Below are 18,075 nucleotides of genomic sequence, written 5' to 3'. Positions count from 1 at the left end.
ACTGCATCAGGTTTGCCATCTAAACTTAGGGCAACCCCAAGTGCTTGAACCTATACCACCCCACTTTCCTGAGCTCTGTAAAGAGCATGAAGTTTTCCCACTGACCCCATACACTGAGGTGCCATCACACTGCACATTTCCTTCCGGAGAACAAGCACGTACTCAGGTGGAGATAGAACTGTCTTTTTACTTAATAGAAAATGATGTGGCAGCTTTAAGAGGAGCGCGTCGGTCTGGGGCTGGTGGCTTGGGTCACGTGACACCGGTGGTCTCGTTTGCGCCTCTTGATGTCGCGGCGGCGCCCTGAGGACGGATTGGGCAAGGCTGGTCCCTGTGTGATGAGACATCACCCTCCCAGGAGCAAGGCGGAAGTCTGGAGGACGCTGAGGGGCGGAGGCGGGAGAGGCGAGCTCGCGATGAGTGGTCTCGGCAGGCTCTTCGGGAAGGGTGAGCCAGGGTGGGACTGGCCAGCCAGGAGGCGCTGGCTGGTGCAGGGGAAGAGGAGACCCCGGCGAGATTCGGCCGGACCGCTGCGCCGGGCAGGGGAAGAGAATCAGGAGACAGGCTGACTGGAAAACCCCGGCGGCCGATGGCGGAGCAAGGCTCATCGCCGGTGCCAAAAGGCACACCATGTCGGGGCGCCTTGTTCCCGTCCGCCGTCCTCCCCCACTCTCAGAGGGAAGAACTCAAGATCTGGGAGGGGACTTGAGTTGAGGGCGTGGCGATCGTGCTGACTCCCACTGTTCAGGCTTGAAGACGAGTTTCCTGCTGTCTTCAGCCATTTTCAAAACCTTGTTCTATAATACTTTGTGCTGGGCAAGAGGGATCTAAGGTGAAGAAGAAAGACTGCCTTCTTAGCCCGGCGCGGGGGCTCACGCCTGTACTCGCAACACTTTGGGAGGCCGACGTGGGTGGATCATGAGGTCAGGAGTTTGAGATCAGCCTGGCCAATATGGTGAAACCCCGTCTCTACTAAAAATATAAAAATTGGCCGGGCGCGGTGGCTCACGCCTGTAATCCCAGCACTTTGGGAGGCCGAGGTGGGTGGATCACCTGAGGTCAAGAGTTCGAGACCAGCCTGGACAACATGGTGAAACCTTGTCTCTACTAAAAATACAAAAAAAAAAAAAAAATTAGCTGGTTGTGGTGGCACGCGCCTGTAGTCCCAGCTACTGGGGGAGGCTGAGACAGGTGAATCGCTTGAACCCAGGAGGCGGAGGTTGTAGTGAGCCAAGATTGCACCAATGCACTCCAGCCTTGGTGACAGAGGGAGACTCCATTCTCAAAAAAAAAAAAAAAAATTAGGTGGGCATGATGGTGTGTGCCTGTAGTCCCAGCTACTCAGGGAGGCTGAGGCAGGAGAATCACTTGAACCCGGGAGACGGAGGTTGCAATGAGCTGAGATCATGCCACTGCACTCTGGCCTGGGCAACAGAGCGAGACTCTGTCTCAAAAAAAGAAGTCCTGGCGCGGTGGCTCATGCCTGTAATCAAAACACTTTGGGAGGCCGAGGCGGGCAGATCACCTGAGGTTGGGAGTTCGACACCAGCCTGACCAACATGGAGAAAGCCTGTCTGTACTAAAAACACAAAAAATTAGCCAGGCATGGTGGCACATGCCTGTGATCCCAGCTATTTGGGAGGCTGAGGCAGGAGAATTGCTTGAACCCAGGAGGCGGAGGTTGAGGTGAGCTGAGATCACGCCATTGCGTTCCAGCCTGGGCAACAAGACTGAAACTCTGCCTAAAGAAAAAAAAAGAAAGGCAGCTAGGAATAGTAAAAAGAATATTGGTTTTAGAACTCATACTGCCACATCTTGATTCCTGCACAATCTCTTATTAGTTGTGATTTTTAACATCTTTGTGGTTGTTTTCACATTTTTAAAGTGAAGAGATAGCACGTTCATTGTAGAGATTTGGGGATTAGCAATAACACAGTCAGGTCTCTAGCACATACTATGTATTCAATGATTGGTGGCTAATATTTTTCCTTCACAAAATTTGGGCCTACTCCACTGGACTCCTCAGGGAAGAAGGAGAAAGGGCCAACCCCTGAAGAAGCAATACAGAAACTGAAGGAGACAGAGAAGATACTGATCAAGAAACAGGAATTTTTGGAGCAGAAGATTCAACAGGAGCTACAAACAGCCAAGAAGTATGGGACCAAGAATAAGAGAGGTAATGAGGGAAACAAGCCTATGGGGAGGGCCCAGATGGGAAGCAGGTGCTTCTGACTCTTGATGTTCAGGGTATGGGCTGGGTCAGCTGCCCTACAGGCTTTGCGGAGGAAGAAAAGATTCGAACAGCAGCTGGCACAAACTGACGGGACATTATCCACCCTGGAGTTTCAGCGTGAGGCCATTGAGAATGCCACTACCAATGCAGAAGTCCTTCGTACCATGGAGCTTGCTGCCCAAAGCATGAAGAAGGCCTACCAGGACATGTGGGTACGGGGGGAGGGGTGGAGGGGACCCAGGCACTGGGAAGAGTGGCTTGCTATCACACTTTAAACTTTAAAGCCTCTCAGAATGTGAATTTGCAGTATAGATACTTGTGATGGCTAGACATCCATCTGCCCCTTGCTTCCTATAAAATTCTTTCGCTGCCTGGGGCATTCTAGGGAGGAAAGATGCCTTCTCTAATTCTTTTTTTGTTTTGTTTTGTTTTGTTTTTTGAGATGGAGTCTTGCTCTGTCGCCCAGGCTGGAGTGCAGTGGCACAATCTCGGCTCACTGCAACCTCCGCCTCCTGGGTTCAAGTGATTCTCCTGCCTCAGCCTCCTGAGTAGCTGGGATTACAGGTGTGCACTACTGTGCCCAGCTCATTTTTGTATTTTTAGTAGAGATGGAGTTTTGCCATTTTGGCCAGGCTGGTCTTGAACTCCTGACCTCAGGTGATCCACCTGCCTTGGCCTCCCAAAGTGCTGGGATCACAACTTGCATCTTTGCAATTTTCCAGGGATCTCTTCTGATTGATAGTTATGGGCTTATCAGTGTGACCCTGCAAGGCAGGAGGGGTTTCATTCATGTGAGATGAGAAAGTCAAGGGGGCATTGTTGCGTGATTTCTTAGCTATCTATCTCATTCTCAGGGACATTGACAAGGTAGATGAACTGATGACTGACATCACGGAACAACAGGAGGTGGCCCAGCAGATCTCAGATGCCATTTCTCGGCCTATGGGCTTTGGAGATGATGTGGATGAGGTGATTGGGGGTGAAGGGTCAGGGAATATTGCAGAAAGTATGGGACTGGCCAGAAGGAACACCCAAGAGAGGCTCTTGGGACAAGTTTGGGAGGGAACTTCAAAAGTGGTATGTTTTTGGAGGTAGAAGTTTTTTTCTTCATCTAAAGTGGTCTTGTCTTCCCTATCCAGGATGAACTGCTGGAGGAGCTAGAGGAGCTGGAGCAGGAGGAATTGGCCCAGGAGTTGTTAAATGTGGGCGACAAGGAAGAAGAACCCTCAGTCAAATTGCCTAGTGTACCTTCTACTCATCTGCCGGCAGGGCCAGGTATGCAGGGTTGTTCTGTTGTCTTGAGGACTTAAGAGGGTGGGAGAGATATGGGGAAAGATTATTCCTCATCCATCCTGCCTCAAAGGAGCCACACAGAAAGGGCTGCTGCTGCAGTTGTGCAGGTTGTTGACTGCATATAGGCACCCACCTAGCCTGTGCTTCACTCAACAAGCCGTGTACCCTGGTTTAGGGCTGCAAATGGCAGGAGCAAGAGGCACCATTTTTCTAATTTGCACAAAGGTGCTGTGGGATTGAACAGCAGCCTAGCAAGCAGAAGGACCATACCTTTAGGTTTTTTGCTGGGGAGACAGAATTCAGCAGGCTCTGAATGTCATAGCAGGGGATGGTTGGAGTTGCTGAGACCTTACTGCTTCTCCTTTCTTTTCTCTGGGTATCTTTGTCCTCAAAGCTCCCAAAGTGGATGAAGATGAAGAAGCACTAAAGCAGTTGGCTGAGTGGGTATCCTGATAAATCTGGGCTTGTCTTCCTAATGCTACCTTTGTTGGTCCTTTCTTCCTTAAGTGCCAAGTGCTGAGCTAAAGGAGGATAACTTTTTGGGGAAGTCATGCTGAGGGTGGTAGTGTGACCCTGCCTGAAAAAAGGGTCTCTTACCCTCCCAGCCCTGGCTCAACTCTGAAGAAGGATCTTGCTACAGAAGGAGCCCTTGGGCTCCCTTCTCTTTGATAGCAGTTATAATGCCCTTGTTCCCAATAAAACTGGGCAGATGGAATCCTAGTGTCTATACTGCCTTGTCTACCCCTGAAGCTGTTCCCCTGGCCCTTGGAGCCTTATTTCAAGCAATGAATAATTAGAGCAAAGAAGGGGGGTTGGAACATAGAACAAATGGGCATTCCTAGTATCTCAACCTATGTTCCAGGCAAACATTATTTCATCTTTCAAGCCGGTTTGTCCTAGAGTTGCCTAGTTGCTGAGGCTGAAGAAACTGCCATCTACCACTTAGAACCACGTGGAGGCATCTCTGAGTCTTCCCTCATTGCTTTCCCCTGGTCGTGCCTCTGCCAAGACAGCCCCAAATTTCTTTTACAAAGCCCATTTTCAAGGACAAGGAGGGAGAATACCATGGAAGGAGCAAGTAGCTTTGCTACTTGGAATGGAAGGAGCAAGTAGCTTTGCTACTTGGAATGGAAGGAGCAAGTAGCTTTGCTACTTGGAATGGAAGGAGCAAGTAGCTTTGCTACTTGGAATGGAAGGAGCAAGTAGCTTTGCTACTTGGAATGGAAGGAGCAAGTAGCTTTGCTACTTGGAATGGAAGGAGCAAGTAGCTTTCCTTTATCCAGAACCCATAGTTAGTAGCTTTCACTACTAGAAGGCTTGGTTTGAATTCTGTGTCTGGGAACAATTGTGTGAGAAGCCTTGTCTCCCTGCTATTGTGTCAGTAGTGGTTAAGGTGACACTGGAAGAGGGAAAAGGAACCAAGGTACTTCATACACCCGAATACCCATTTCTTTTCTTTTCTTTTTTTTTTTTTTTTGAGACAGAGTCTCACTTTGTCGCCCAGGCTGGAGTGCAGTGGCGCGATCTCGGCTCACTGCAACCCCTGCATCCCGGGTTCAAGTGATTCTCCTGCCTCAGCCAGGTGCCACTATGCCCGGCTAATTTTTGTATTTTTCATAGAGACAGGGTTTTGCCATGTTGGCCAGTCTGGTCTCGAACTCTTGACCTCAAGTGATCTGCCCGCCTCGGCCCCCCAAAGTGTTGGGATTACAGGCGTGAGCCACCGCACCCAGCTCGAATACCCATTTCTAAAAGAACTAACAGTGCCATTACTTTGGACTATAGACAGGCAGAGCCATAATCAAAGTGGAAGAACCAGGGCTTTTACCCCACTACTTGAGCATTTAAACAGCACAAAGATGTAAAATAATGAGCATATGTTGAGTTGAATAATAAAGCTTCCCAAAATAGAGCGTTAATCTGAGCACCCCATCCCCTAAGAGCCACATCATGAATTACACTATTGATTTAACACAGTGTCAAGATTATTGGTTACAGGCTCTGGGCAGAAATCTATCTCTTACTCCAGCAGTGTTCCCTGCTATAAGATTGCCTTGAGAAAAGAATGTCTTTGACCCTAGTTGATGAAACTAAATCAGACTTAGATTTATTTTTGGTAAAAAAGATTTTTAGCCCAAGACCTCCTGCTTTGCTCCTCTCTTAGCCCCCTCCCTCAGCCATTTTCAGGTCGTAATTTGCAAGGATTGGTGCTGTTTAGTGGTGTTGTGGAGCTGGCACATGGCCTCAAGCAGCCTGATCTCATGGGTGGGTTGCTCAGGCTGGAACTTGAGCACCCAGGAATCCTTGATGATGTCCAGAATGGTGGCACGCTTAGTGGCTTGGCGTAGCATCTGGAGGATCAGGTTCTAGAGCAGGGGAGAGAGAGGTCTTGCCTGAGTTTTTCTCCATTGTGCCACACAGGCAATGAGCAGTTGGACCTAAGAAAGAAGCAGGATAGCCCATCATACCACTCTGGTCAAAGTGGGTGTGGCTCTGATTTTATCTTGGAGACCCAGGCAGTTAACTCCCTGGAGGGGAAGGGAAGAGTTCCTTGGGAGGAATGCTTTCCATATTTCCCTTCTGGCCTAAAGAGAAAGAAGCTGGAACCTGTGTATCAGGCAAGGTTTGGAGCCTAGTGGTTGGCCCTTTATGCCTTCCATACTGTTTATTATAGGACAGGAGCTAGTGTGTGAGATGGCTCTGGTGTGGGAAGAGCCTTTCCCCAGGGTTGGGAGGCCTAGGTTGGGTGACCTAGGTTGGATATTCACCCCTCCCTGTGGGTCATCCCTGAAGGCTCAGCCCTCCTTAGGTAGCCAGTACCTTGCACTCCTGGGAGATGGTATGGTTAGCTGGGAAAGTGACCTCCTTCTGAGTCTCTCTTAGCAGCTTTTTGAGATTGGTGTCATCAAAGGGCAGATGGGCGACCACTAGAGTGTAAAGGATGACGCCCATGCTCCAGGTGTCAGACAGGAAAGGGTTGTAGGGCAAGCCTCGTAAGATCTCTGGGCAAGCGTAAGCAAAGCTGCCACAGTAAGTCTGGCTGAGGTGGGAAAAGCAGTTCACTTGGCGGTAAGAAGGGCTACAACCCACAGGCTGGTTAGAAGGCACCATCTTGGCAAAGCCAAAGTCTGATATCTTCACATTCTCCCACTTGTCCAGCAACAGGTTCTCCAACTTTAAGTCCCTACCAGCAGCAGAAAGGCTGGGCATCAGGCTGGGGAGAGGGCTTAGTTTTAGACTGGGAGCTGAAGGGCCAGGGGTCAGAGGGTAAAGATGAGGACAGAGGAAGTGGGAGGTAGAAACCATTATGAGGGCACAAGGTAGAGAGGAAGGAAAGCCATGGAGTTGTGAGCAGAGCCCAAAGTAGGGAGAGAGACAGAGGATGGTATCTGAGGACCACCGGGAGCTCACCATTGTATTTCATAAAATGCTTTGCATACAGTGAGTACTTTATCAGTATCCTTGACCATATGATTAAAATAGAGTGCATGAATAGGCTAGATATTGAGGAGGGAGTTCGAAAGAGGAAAAAAGGACAGGAAATGGGAGATGTGCATAAAACCCCCTTGAGGGCAAAGGCCCCAGTCTGGGTGGCAGCGCCCTCACCGGTGCACGATGCTCTTGCTGTGCAGGTAGGCAATGCCCAGGGTCAGCTGGGAGAACCACTTGCCAGCAAGGGGCTCAGAGCAGGCCCCGTAGCGCTGGATCCATTCAAGGACATCACCACCCTGAGCCAGTTCCAGAATGATGTATACTCGAGATGTGCTCTCAATGGCCCGATAGAAGTTGATGAGGTACTTGTGCCGCAAGACTTTCATTACCTGACCCCAGAAGAAGGACCCATCAAACCTGGGAAGGGAGAACCCTGACTGCACTCCCAGCCGTCTCCTACCCTCAGCTACTGACTTAGGACTTTGCAATAGGATCAGCCCCTCAACCCCAGAGAACTGGTGGCCTGTGGGCAAATGCTATGTTTTGTGCCTTTACTTTTTGGGGACTGAAGGTGAGTGGGTGGATGGGAAAGAGGTTTAACTTACATAAAGTTTCCTAGCTGCTTAGTGAGACATTTCAGTTCTGGTTTAGGGGTTTCTGGCCCCACCCCTCCTGGCCATACCCCTTCTGAGAAACCTCAAGCAGCTTAGTACCAAGCTCCAGTTCCCTCTTCCAGCCCCCTTTCCAACCTGTATTTCACGGGGCAGGAACTTGTTAAGATAGTCATCAGAGGCCTTCTTCTTTGAGATGATCTTGACTGCCACCATAACCTTCTGCTTTGTGTAGAAAGCCTCATATACCGACCCATAGGAGCCATGGCCAATGGCCTTGCCCACCTCATAACCATATTCATCCATGAGGGAATGGTAGGCTGTGGTGGTTGGTGCTGCCTCTAAGACATCTCCCTTCCCCATGGTGTTGGGCTTGCTGAGAGCAGGGAGCTTTACTACTTGGAAGCCTCCTATCCAAAGGCCAACACCTTGAGCTGCTGAAGGCTAGGGTATCAAAGTGAAGTAGGTCCCCAAATGCTTGCCTATATAGTCACACGAGTCTGGGATGCTGGACTCAGCCCTCCACTAGGAACTTGGAGGGGGAAAGAAAGAGAAGCAGTTCTTTTTGTCTCCACTGGCTGTTGTTACTTTCTCCTTTTGGTTACGGAACTCCTCAAGGTCCCATGTTCCGAATACATCACAATCCACCTCCTATCCATCGTTGGCCACAAAACTTGAGAATGAAGTGCGGCCGGGCGCGGTGGCTCACGCCTGTAATCCCAGCACTTTGGGAGGCCGAGGCGGGCGGATCACGAGGTCAGGAGATCGAGACCATCCCGGCTAAAACGGTGAAACCCCGTCTCTACTAAAAATACAAAAAATTAGCCGGGCGTAGTGGCGGGCGCCTGTAGTCCCAGCTACTTGGGAGGCTGAGGCAGGAGAATGGCGTGAACCTGGGAGGCAGAGCTTGCAGTGAGCCGAGATTGCGCCACTGCACTCCAGCCTGGGCGACAGAGCGAGACTCCGTCTCAAAAAAAAAAAAAAAAAAAAAGAGAATGAAGTGCAGTTGGAAACGTACTCATTCCCAGAGGCACCTTCCACAGTCTGGTGAAACTCCTAAAGATCAGACCTTTCATTGATATATGAGTACCTACTAAGTACCAGACACTGTGCTGAATACTTGGATAAAATGTCACCCAAATGTCATGCCAGACCCTTCCTCCTTCCTCAATCCCTACATACAATCTTTCATCAAATCCTGTCTCTGCTATCTCCTACTTATCTCTTTAATGATACACTCAAGGCTTTCCGAGCCCATTGCAGCCCCCTTAGTTCAATAAGGCCAATAGAGACACTATGATCCTAAAGCTTATAATGCAGCATGAGAAATACGAGTGTGAAAGTATTACCATTGTAAGGTATTGAACATGTTCTAGGAAAATCTAACCTTGAAATGCATCCTTATCTTCTATGAGCCAGAACTCTCTAGTTTTCCTCCACATCCTTCTGGTCACTCCTCAGCCTTCACTGAAGTTATATCTTTCTCTATCCATCCCTTAATCATATCCCAAGTGTTACATCACAAGCTTTATTTTCTCAAACCTTCACATCCTCCCTTAATCTTGTCCATACCCATGGTGTCAATACTACATTTATGCTGACTGCTCCTAATTTCATCTCCATCCCATATATCTGGAGTTTAGATAGAGCAGCCAGTATTACGTGGCCATGTCTGCCCCAGGCATGGAACTTACCATATCCATCTCAAACTTAACCATATCAATAATTGAACTTATTTTCTTCTCTCAGACTTTTCTGTGAGTTGTACACTAATCACCCTTAATTTAGACACTCATATGTCATCCCAGACCCTCCTGCCTCAGTCCCTACATTCAATCTATCACGAAATCCTATCTCTTATACCTCCTGATTCTCTCTTTGATAATATTCTCATGGTTTTCTGAGCCCACTGCTAATCCCTTAGTTCACGCCTCCATCATCGAACAGATGGCCCCCGCCAGCCTTCTGCTCCACTCCAGTCTGTCCATCCCAAGTCCAAAGCATAAATCTGATTTTATTTCCATTTGAAACAATTCAGTGTCTCCCCATTCTCTTTAGGATCAAGTCCATCCAAATTCTTTCACACAGCTTTAAGTCTGATCCTGCTTACCTCCCCAATTTTATTTTTTAACACACACGTAATGATCCACAACTGCTTTTCTGTATTTGTGGCAAACTCCAAATCTTCCTTGAGAACTTGGCATAGGACCTTTTTTCTCTTTTTTTTTTTTTGAGATGGAGTTTCGCTCTTGTTGCCCAGGCTGGAGTGCAATGGCACGATCTTGGCTCACTACAACCTCCAACTCCTGGGTTCAAGCGATTCTCCTGCCTCACCCTCCCTAGTAGCTAGGATTACAGACATGCACCACCATGCCTAGCTATTTTGTATGTTTAGTAGAGACAGGGTTTCTCCATGTTGGTCAGGCAGGTCTTGAACTCCCGACCTCAGGTGATCTGCCCACCTTGGCCTCCCAAAGTGCTGGGATTATAGGCATGAGCCACCGCGCCCCGTCTGTTTTTGTTTTGAGATGGAGTTTCGCTCTTGTTGCCCAGGCTGGAGTGCAATGGCACAATCTCGGCTCACCGCAACCTCCACCTCCCGGGTTCAAGCCATTCTCCCGCCTCAGCCTCCCGAGTAGCTGGGATTACAGGCATGCACCACCACGCCTGGCTAATTTTGTATTTTTTAGTAGAGACGGGGTTTCTCCATGTTGGTCAGGCTGGTCTCGAACTCCCAACCTCAGGTGATCTGCCTGCCTCAGCCTCCCAAAGTGCTGGGATTATAGCCGTGAGCCACCGCGCCCAGTGGAGCTGTTTTAAAGAAGGCTTAACTGACTGCTCAAGCTTCAGTTAGATATTCCTTCTTCCTGGGTGCTCCCACAGGCCCAATACTTTGTCTGTCACAGCACCTAACATAGTGTCTGTAATTGCTTCTGTTGCTTGCATCTCCCACTAAGCTATATAGGGAGGTCAAATGATGAGAAGACAGATGAAGTGTGGAGAATAGAAAAGAGCTGGTTTAGAAAATGAGCAGCATTGAGGGCCCAACTGAGGTTGGAGAACAACTTGTCCATAGACACATATAGTGTTGTGATTCTTTTAGCATCTTGGTTATAGGTACTTGAATGTTGATGGATGATTTAGGGTTTTGCTTGGCAGCTGCAATGAAACAATGGGAGAGGGGCATCAAGAACATACGCAAGAATGTGGCTGAAATGGAATGCGGAATCTAAGCTGCATGGATAAGGAAGATTATCGGGGAACCTGCCCCGATAGTCACGTAGGTTCTTTTCTATTTTCCCTAAGCGTCGGCCGGTTTGAGAAATAAAAGGACAGAGTACAAAAGAGAGAAATTTTAAAGCTGGGCATCCGGGGGAGACATCACATGTCGGTAGATTCTGTAATGCCCCACAAGCCGCAAAACCAGCAAGTTTTTATTAGGGACTTTCAAAAGGGGAGGGAGTGTACGAATAGGGTGTGGGTCACAAAGATCACGTACTTCACAAGGTAATAGAATATCAAAGGCAAAGGGAGGCAGGGCGAGATCACAGGACCGGGGCAAAATTAAAATTGCTAATGAAGTTTCGGGCACCATTGTCATTGATAACATCTTATCAGGAGACAGGGTTTTGAGAGCAACCTGTCTGACCACAATTTATTAGGTGGGAATTTCCTCTTCCTAATAAGCCTGGGAGTGCTATGGGAGACTGGGGTTTATTTCATCCCTACAGTTTCAACCATAGAAGACAGCCACACCCAAAGGGGCCATTTCAGAGACCCACCCTCAGGCACGTATTCTCTTTCCCAGGGATGTTCCTTGCTGAGAAAAAGAATTCAGCGATATTTCTCCCATTTGCTTTTGAAAGAAGAGAAATATGGCTCTGTTCCGCCTGGCTCACCGGAGGTCAGAGTTTAAGGTTATCTCTCTTGTTTCCTAAACATTGCTGTTATCCTGTTCTTTTTCAAGGTGCCCAGATTTCATATTGTTTAAACACACATGCTGTACAATTTGTGCAGTTAACGCAATTATCACAGGGTCCTGAGGCGATGTACATCCTCCTCGGTTTACGAGATGACAGGATTAAGAGATTAAAGTAAAGACAGGCATAGGAAATCACAAGGGTATTGACTGGGGAAGTGATAAGTGTCCATGAAATCTTCACAATTTATGTTTAGAGATTGCAGTAAAGACAGGCATAAGAAATTATAAAAGTATTAATTTGGGGAACTAATAAATGTCCATGAAATCTTCACAATCCACGTTCTTCTGTCATGGCTTCAGCCGGTCCCTCCGTTTGGGGTCCCTGACTTCCCGCAACAGAAGATTATATGGTTTGGATCTGTGTCCCCACCCAAATCTCATGGTCAGTTGTAATCTGCAATGTTGGAGGAGGGGCCTGGTGGGAGGTGACTGGATCATGGAGGTGGGTTTCTGATGAATGTGTAGCACCACCCTCTTGCCGTGAGTTATGAGATGTGGTCATTTTAAAAAGTGTGTAGCACCTCCCCCTTTGCCCTCTTGCTCCTGCTCCCACCATGTGAGATACTTGCTCCCCCTTCACCTTCTGCCATGATTGTAAGCTTCCTGAGGCCTCCCCAGAAGCAGATGCCAGCATTATGCTTCCTGTACAGCCTGCAGAACCACAGCCAATTAAAGCTCTTTTCTTATAAATTACCCAGTCTCAGGTATTTCTTTATAGCAAGGCAGCTGACACAGAAGACAAGCTAGAAACTGGCCAAAGGGGCAGAAGGAGGAGTTGCAGGTGTCACTGGAATGGAAAAACAAGTTTGGTAGGAATTGAGAGAATGAGAAGAACAGGAGGTTGTGGTCACAGAGGAGTTATTTAGATTTAAGATTTTGTAGCCGGGCGCAGTGGCTCACGCCTGTAATCCCAGCAATTTGGGAGGCCAAGGCTGGTGGACTGCTTGAGGTTAGGAGTTCAAGACCAGCCTGACCAACATGGTGAAACCCATCTCTACTAAAAATACAAAAATTAGGTGGGTGTGGTGGCAGGCGCCTGTAATCCCAGGTACTTGGGAGGCAGAGTCAGGAGAATCTCTTGAAGCCAGGAGGCAGAGTTTGCAGTGAGCCGAGATCATGCCACTGCACTCCAGCCTGGGCAACAGAGCAAGACTCTGTCTAAACGAACAAAAAAAAGGCCAGGCACGGTGGCTCAAGCTTGTAATCCCAGCACTTTGGGAGGCTGAGGTGGGCAGATCACGAGGTCAGGAGATCGAGACCATCCTGGCTAACATGGTGAAACCCCGTCTCTACTAAAAATACAAAACTAGCCAGGCATGGTGGCGGGCGCCTGTAGTCCCAGCTACTCGGGAGGCTGAGGCAGGAGAATGGTGTGAACCCAGGAGGTGGAGTTTGCAGTGAGCAGAGATTGCACCACTGCACTCCAGCCTGGGTGACAGAGCGAGACTCTGTCTCAAAAGCAAAAAACCGGCCGGGTGCGGTGGCTCACACTTGTAATCCCAGCACTTTGGGAGGCCGAGGAGGGCGGATCAGGAGGTCAGGAGATCAAGACCACGGTGAAACCCTGTCTCTACTAAAAATACAAAAAATTAGCCAGGTGTGGTGGCGGGTGCCTGTAGTCCCAGCCACTTGGAGAGGCTGAGGCAGGAGAATGGCATGAACCTGGGAGGCGGAGCTTGCAGTGAGCCGAGATCGCGCCACTGCGCTCCAGCCTGGGCGACAGAGACTCTGTCTCAAAAAAAAAAAAAAAAAAAAAAAAAAAAAAACCAAAAAAACAAAAAAGATTTTGTGTGGTGGGTATTAGGCCGTTCTTGCATTGCTATAAAGAAATACCAGGCCGGGCGTGGTGGCTCATGCCTGTAATCCCAGCATTTTGGGAGGCTGAAGCGGGCAGATCAGGAGGTCAGGAGATCGAGACCAGCCTGGCCAACATAGTGAAACCCGTCTCTACTAAAGACACAAAAATTAGCTGGGCGTGGTGGTGCATGCCTGTAATCCCAGGTACTCGGGAGGCTGAGGCAGGAGAATCACTTGAACCACGGAGTCGGAGGTTTCAGTGAGCCGAGATCGCACCACTGCACTCCAGCCTGGTGACAGAGCAACACTCTGTCTCAAAAAAAAAAAAGAAAGAAATACCTGAGGCCGTGTACAGTGGCTCATGCCTGTAATCCTGACAGTTTGGGAAGCCAAGGCAGGTGGATTACCTGAGCCCAGGAGTTCAAGACCAGCTTGGGCAACATAGCAAAAACCCATTTCTACGAAAAATACCAATATTAGCTAGGTGTGGTGGCATGTGCCTATAGTCTCAGCTACTCAGAAGGATCACTTGAGCCTGGGAGGTGAAGGCTGCAGTGAACCAAGATGGCACCACTGCACTCCAGCCTGGGTGACAAAGTGAGACCCTGTCTCAAAAACAAAAACAAACAAAAACATGAGACTGGGTAGTTTGTAAAGAAAAGAGGTTTAGGCCGGGTGCAGTGGCTCACGCCTGTAATCCCAACACTCTGGGAGGCCAAATTAGGCAGGCGGATCACAAGGTCAAGAGATCAAGACCATCCTGGCCAACATGGTGAAACCACATCTCTACTAAAAATACAAAAATTAGCTGGGCATGGTGGTGTGTGGCTGTAGTCCCAGCTACTCTGGAGGCTGAGGCAGGAGAATCACTTGAACCTGGGAGGGGGAGGTTGCAGTGAGCCAAGATCACACCACTGCACTCTAGCCTGGCGACAGAGCAAGACTCCGTCTCAAAAAAAAAAAAAAAAAAAAAGAAAAGAAAAGAAAAGAGGTTTAATTGGCTCACCGTTCTGCAGGCTGTATAGGAAGCATGGTGCTGGCTCAGCTTCTGGGGAGGCCTCAGGAAGCTTATAATCAAAACGGAAGGTGAAGGGGAAGCAGGGACATCACGTGGTGAGAATGGGAGTGAGAGAGAGAGAGTTGTGGTGGAGGTGCCACACGCTTTTAAACAACCAGATCTTGTGAGAACTCATAGGGTAAATACTACACCAAACCATGAGGGGTCCGCCCCCATGATCCAAAAACCTCCCACCAGGACCCACCTACAGCATTGGGGATTACATTTCAACATGAGATTTGGGCAGGGATAACTATCCAAACTATATCAGTGGGGGACAGAGGGGCAGAGAAAAGAACAAGGGAAGAATCCAAATTCTCATATCTTCCATCCTCCAAAACAGAATACTTCAAGAACAGATTATGCCACAGGCATGCAATAAATTCCCATTTATTGACAGTCTGACCTTGCTGGCAGGATGGTTCCAAAGTTCTGTTGGAAGCCAGCTCTATATCCTCAATCTAGCAAGATGAGCAGTTTTCCAGGGCACACCATGGTAAGGGGGCCCACCCAATCCTGCCCATCTGATCCCACAGGCTGGCCCCCGGATAGGTAACTTGGTGGCAACTCTAGTCTCTCATCATGTACAGGGGGTAAACCAGTTCATGCGAAGATCATGTATTAAGCTGCCTAACATATACAAAAACACTGCTAGGTCCTGAGGAAACAGAGATGAATAAATTACAGTCTTCCTCTGAGGAGTTTGAAATTAGCAAGGGAGACAGACACATAAGAAGTAAAATAACACTACAGTGAGATATGCTATAAACAAACCTGGGAGGAGATGTAAGGGAAGGCTTTATAGAGAAGGTGACATTTGCACTGTTCAAAAAAAAAGGATAAGGCCAGGTGCAGTGGCTCATGCCTGTAATCCCAGCACTTTGGGAGGTCAAGGCGGGCGGATCACGAAGTCAGGAGTTCGAGACCAGCCTGGCCAATATGGTGAAACCCCATCTCTACTAAAAAATACAAAAATTAGCCGGGCATGGTGGTGCGCACCTGTAGTCCCAGCTACTCGGGAGGCTGGGGCAGGAGAATCGCTTGAACTCGGAGGTGGAGGTTGCAGTGAACTGAGATCACACCACTACACTCCAGCCTGGTTGACAGTGAGACTGTCTCAAAAAAAAAAAAAAAAAAAAAAAAAGGCCAGGCACGGTGGCTCACACTTGTAATCCCAGCACTTTGGGAGGCCAAGGCGGGCAGATCATGAGGTTGGGAGATCGAGACCATCCTGGCTAACACTGTGAAACCCCGTCTCTACTGAAAATACAAAAACAAAAATTAGCCGGGCGTGGTGGCAGGCACCTGTAGTCCCAGCTACTCGGGAGGCTGAGGCGGGAGAATGGCGTGAACCTGGGAGGCGGAGCTTGCAGTGAGCAGAGATCACGCCACTGCACTCCGGCCTGGGCAACAGAGCGAGACTCTGTCTCAAAAAAAAAAAAAAAAAAGATAAGTAGGGAATAGGAGATTGGGTGGTTTAGGCAGGAGGAACAATATGAGGCTTGCCGGCTTGAGAGAATATGATATTCAGTATTTCTATTTGAATACAGAATAGGGTTCCAGAAGGGGAATGTACCTTGAGAAGTAATTAGGATCCAGGTCTGAGCAGTCTCATATGCCAGGCTATTTTGACTCTACCTTGTATGCTCATATAATCTGGGTATACATCAAAATCAGTGCTTATTTTTTTGAGACAGAGTTTGGTTCTTGTTGCCCAGGCTGGAGTGCAATGGTGCAGTCTCAGCTCACTGCAACCTCCGCCTCCTGGGTTCAAGCGATTACCCTGCCTCAGCCTCCCAAGTGGCTGGGGTTATAGCCATGAGCCACCATGCCCGGCTAATTTTTTTTGTATTTTTAGTAGAGACGGGGTTTCACCATGTTGGACAGGCTGGTCTTGAACTCCCGACCTCAGGTAATCCACCTCGGCCTCCCAAAGTGCTGGGATTACAGGAGTGAGCCACTACGCCCGGCCTCAGTGCTTGCTTTTTTTAAAAAAAAAAAAATGCTGATGACCAGGCACCCCCTCCCCTGAGAATCCTGATTTTAAAAAAGAAACTTTCCAGTAGCAGTGTGAAAAATGACCCAGGGGGAAGGTGACTAGGAGACTAGCAAGGTGGCTCTCATGGTAGTTTAGGTGAGAGAAGATGGAGCCTGAACCAAAGAGGTGGAGGCAAGCATCTGGAAGATATTCAGGAAATAAGTGGAGAGGGCTTGGTGACACTGATATCTGAGCGGGAAGATAGAGAGAAAGAGGCCCAAGTTTCTGGCTTTAGAGACCAGGTGGTTGTCAGTTAGAGATTATTTCTAAGCCACTCTCAGTTCTTGTTCTTTTTTCTTTTTCTTTTTCTTTTTTTTTTTTTTTTTGAGATGGAGTCCCGCTCTGTTGCCCAGGCTGGAGTGCAATGGCCTGATCTCGGTTCACTGCAACCTCCGCTTCCCAGGTTCAAGCTATTCTCCTGCCTCAGCCTCACAAGTGGCTGGGGTTACAGGCGCCCGCCACCAGGCCCAGCTAATTTTTTTGTATTTTTAGTAGAGACAGGGTTTCGCCATGTTAGGCTGGTCTCGAACTCCCGACCTCGGGTGATCTGCCCGCCTTGGCCTCCCAAAGTGCTGGTATTACAGGCGTGAGCCCACCGCGCCCGACCTCAGTTCTTTTTCTAATTAGAAAATTCACTGATTGTCTAACAAAACTCCACCATCTGCTTCTTTGAACCTCACCTATATCTGCAGGGAAAGAACTGGGTCAGAAAGGGCAGTAATTGTAGAAGCAGGTAAATTAAGGGCTTTTCAGGCCAGAAGTCACTTGTGATTTTTCCACTGTGCTTCTTCCCCTGGGGAGAGAGAAGCTTAAGTCCACTTCCTTACACGTTGCTCCCAGGTGGCAAAACAGAAGTCACTGCTCAAAGGTCCGATTTTCAAGGGGAACTCCCTAGACGGCAGATCCCCTTTAAAACAGCTGAGACAAACACAAGGGTAAACTTTTTCAAAATAATCTGCCATACAAAGTGAAGAGAAGCCCAAAGACATACACAGTGATAAATAAGAACAAAAACATAGACTAACGGACCTCGAGATACTTTACCGTCAATTAACAATAACCATGTTAGGCTGCCCAACTCACAGAGTCAAAGGACAGACCTCTCTCCTTGCGCGCCTCTGCGCCAAACCGGGTTTCGGCTTGCTTATCGTGGGCTCTGAACGGTCACTGTGCGGCCAGGGAAGTCTCCAGCACAGCCTCGGGAAGACATTCCTATTACATATTTATCACTTTGGCGCTGGCCATTCGTGACAGGTGGGAGACGAGTGAGGTGAGATTCAGATGTTGGGACCCTTGCATGGGACAGATGCCCAAAGCTTCGCCCCTTCCCCGGTTTGGGGGCCACGAACCGCCTCTCAGGGCTCAGCCTCAGCAGCAGGTGGTTCAGCCGGAAAGTGCTTCGAACCCAGACGCCGCCTGCGCTCCATCTCCCCGGCCCTCGCTAGTCCCGTCCCGCGGGGACAGCTCTCGGGCCTCGGCCAGCGCGAGCCTCCTGGCCAAGAGCTCTCAAACCCCAAATCTTTCCAGGAGCAAGCGAGCGGCCTAGCAGCCACTCCTCTCCCGAAGGGGTGTCAGGGTCCTCGCTGCCAGGCCTCAGCCCCCTCCCCGGGAAGCCGTCGCGAAGGAGTCCCC

At 49.0% G+C, this 18,075-nt stretch overlaps 2 protein-coding genes across 6 annotated transcripts, besides 12 other annotated features; one reads left to right on the top strand and one right to left on the bottom strand.

Moving 5' to 3' along the window:
* Positions 77–885: an enhancer, noted in NCBI's record as "NANOG-H3K27ac-H3K4me1 hESC enhancer chr14:24682177-24682985 (GRCh37/hg19 assembly coordinates)". NCBI's record gives its function as "activates a minimal SCP1, AML or CMV promoter by ChIP-STARR-seq in naive H9 embryonic stem cells {active_cell/tissue: H9 hESC(naive)}" and the evidence as "EXISTENCE:reporter gene assay evidence [ECO:0000049][PMID:30033119]".
* Positions 77–959: a biological region, named in NCBI's record as "NANOG-H3K27ac-H3K4me1 hESC enhancer GRCh37_chr14:24682177-24682985".
* Positions 150–649: an enhancer, noted in NCBI's record as "active region_8197". NCBI's record gives its function as "activates an Ori minimal core promoter by ATAC-STARR-seq in GM12878 lymphoblastoid cells {active_cell/tissue: GM12878}" and the evidence as "EXISTENCE:reporter gene assay evidence [ECO:0000049][PMID:35858748]".
* Positions 219–513: an enhancer, noted in NCBI's record as "tiled region #5945; HepG2 Activating DNase unmatched - State 1:Tss, and K562 Activating DNase unmatched - State 1:Tss". NCBI's record gives its function as "activates a minimal TATA promoter and a strong SV40 promoter by Sharpr-MPRA in HepG2 and K562 cells {active_cell/tissue: HepG2 | K562}" and the evidence as "EXISTENCE:reporter gene assay evidence [ECO:0000049][PMID:27701403]".
* On the top strand, positions 368–4,241 carry CHMP4A (charged multivesicular body protein 4A). Its single transcript, NM_014169.5, has 6 exons — positions 368–447; positions 2,027–2,176; positions 2,264–2,441; positions 3,088–3,202; positions 3,373–3,508; positions 3,921–4,241. The coding sequence occupies exons 1-6, from the start codon at positions 417–419 to the stop codon at positions 3,977–3,979; spliced, it is 669 nt and encodes a 222-aa protein (NP_054888.3). The 5' UTR covers positions 368–416; the 3' UTR covers positions 3,980–4,241.
* Positions 840–959: an enhancer, noted in NCBI's record as "active region_8196". NCBI's record gives its function as "activates an Ori minimal core promoter by ATAC-STARR-seq in GM12878 lymphoblastoid cells {active_cell/tissue: GM12878}" and the evidence as "EXISTENCE:reporter gene assay evidence [ECO:0000049][PMID:35858748]".
* Positions 4,242–5,607: 1,366 nt separating the features above from the next.
* TSSK4 (testis specific serine kinase 4) lies at positions 5,608–8,160 on the bottom strand. Of its 5 annotated transcripts, none has more exons than XM_024449542.2 (4): positions 7,708–8,160; positions 7,133–7,347; positions 6,347–6,740; positions 5,608–5,964 (listed from the first exon to the last, which is right to left on the bottom strand). In XM_024449542.2, the coding sequence occupies exons 1-4, from the start codon at positions 7,930–7,932 to the stop codon at positions 5,893–5,895; spliced, it is 906 nt and encodes a 301-aa protein (XP_024305310.1). In that variant the 5' UTR covers positions 7,933–8,160; the 3' UTR covers positions 5,608–5,892. The 5 variants fall into 5 exon arrangements, with proteins under 5 accessions (XP_024305310.1, NP_001171668.1, NP_777604.2 ...); NM_001184739.2 differs by having other exon boundaries at positions 5,608–5,892; NM_174944.4 differs by having other exon boundaries at positions 5,608–5,892; positions 6,347–6,710.
* Positions 9,629–10,527: an enhancer, noted in NCBI's record as "H3K27ac-H3K4me1 hESC enhancer chr14:24672535-24673433 (GRCh37/hg19 assembly coordinates)". NCBI's record gives its function as "activates a minimal SCP1, AML or CMV promoter by ChIP-STARR-seq in primed H9 embryonic stem cells {active_cell/tissue: H9 hESC(primed)}" and the evidence as "EXISTENCE:reporter gene assay evidence [ECO:0000049][PMID:30033119]".
* Positions 10,528–11,426: an enhancer, noted in NCBI's record as "OCT4-NANOG-H3K27ac-H3K4me1 hESC enhancer chr14:24671636-24672534 (GRCh37/hg19 assembly coordinates)". NCBI's record gives its function as "activates a minimal SCP1, AML or CMV promoter by ChIP-STARR-seq in naive H9 embryonic stem cells {active_cell/tissue: H9 hESC(naive)}" and the evidence as "EXISTENCE:reporter gene assay evidence [ECO:0000049][PMID:30033119]".
* Positions 10,528–11,832: a biological region, named in NCBI's record as "BRD4-independent group 4 enhancer GRCh37_chr14:24671230-24672429".
* Positions 10,633–11,832: an enhancer, noted in NCBI's record as "BRD4-independent group 4 enhancer chr14:24671230-24672429 (GRCh37/hg19 assembly coordinates)". NCBI's record gives its function as "activates an origin of replication core promoter dependent on BRD2, P300/CBP, MED14 and CDK7 cofactors, and independent of BRD4, by STARR-seq in HCT116 cells {active_cell/tissue: HCT116}" and the evidence as "EXISTENCE:reporter gene assay evidence [ECO:0000049][PMID:35650434]".
* Positions 12,562–13,499: an enhancer, noted in NCBI's record as "H3K27ac hESC enhancer chr14:24669563-24670500 (GRCh37/hg19 assembly coordinates)". NCBI's record gives its function as "activates a minimal SCP1, AML or CMV promoter by ChIP-STARR-seq in primed H9 embryonic stem cells {active_cell/tissue: H9 hESC(primed)}" and the evidence as "EXISTENCE:reporter gene assay evidence [ECO:0000049][PMID:30033119]".
* Positions 17,517–17,756: an enhancer, noted in NCBI's record as "active region_8195". NCBI's record gives its function as "activates an Ori minimal core promoter by ATAC-STARR-seq in GM12878 lymphoblastoid cells {active_cell/tissue: GM12878}" and the evidence as "EXISTENCE:reporter gene assay evidence [ECO:0000049][PMID:35858748]".
* Positions 18,007–18,066: an enhancer, noted in NCBI's record as "active region_8194". NCBI's record gives its function as "activates an Ori minimal core promoter by ATAC-STARR-seq in GM12878 lymphoblastoid cells {active_cell/tissue: GM12878}" and the evidence as "EXISTENCE:reporter gene assay evidence [ECO:0000049][PMID:35858748]".

This window comes from Homo sapiens, chromosome 14 (genome assembly GCF_000001405.40).
Source record: "Homo sapiens chromosome 14, GRCh38.p14 Primary Assembly".
NCBI lineage: Eukaryota > Metazoa > Chordata > Mammalia > Primates > Hominidae > Homo > Homo sapiens.
This window is presented reverse-complemented; position numbering and strand designations above follow the sequence as displayed.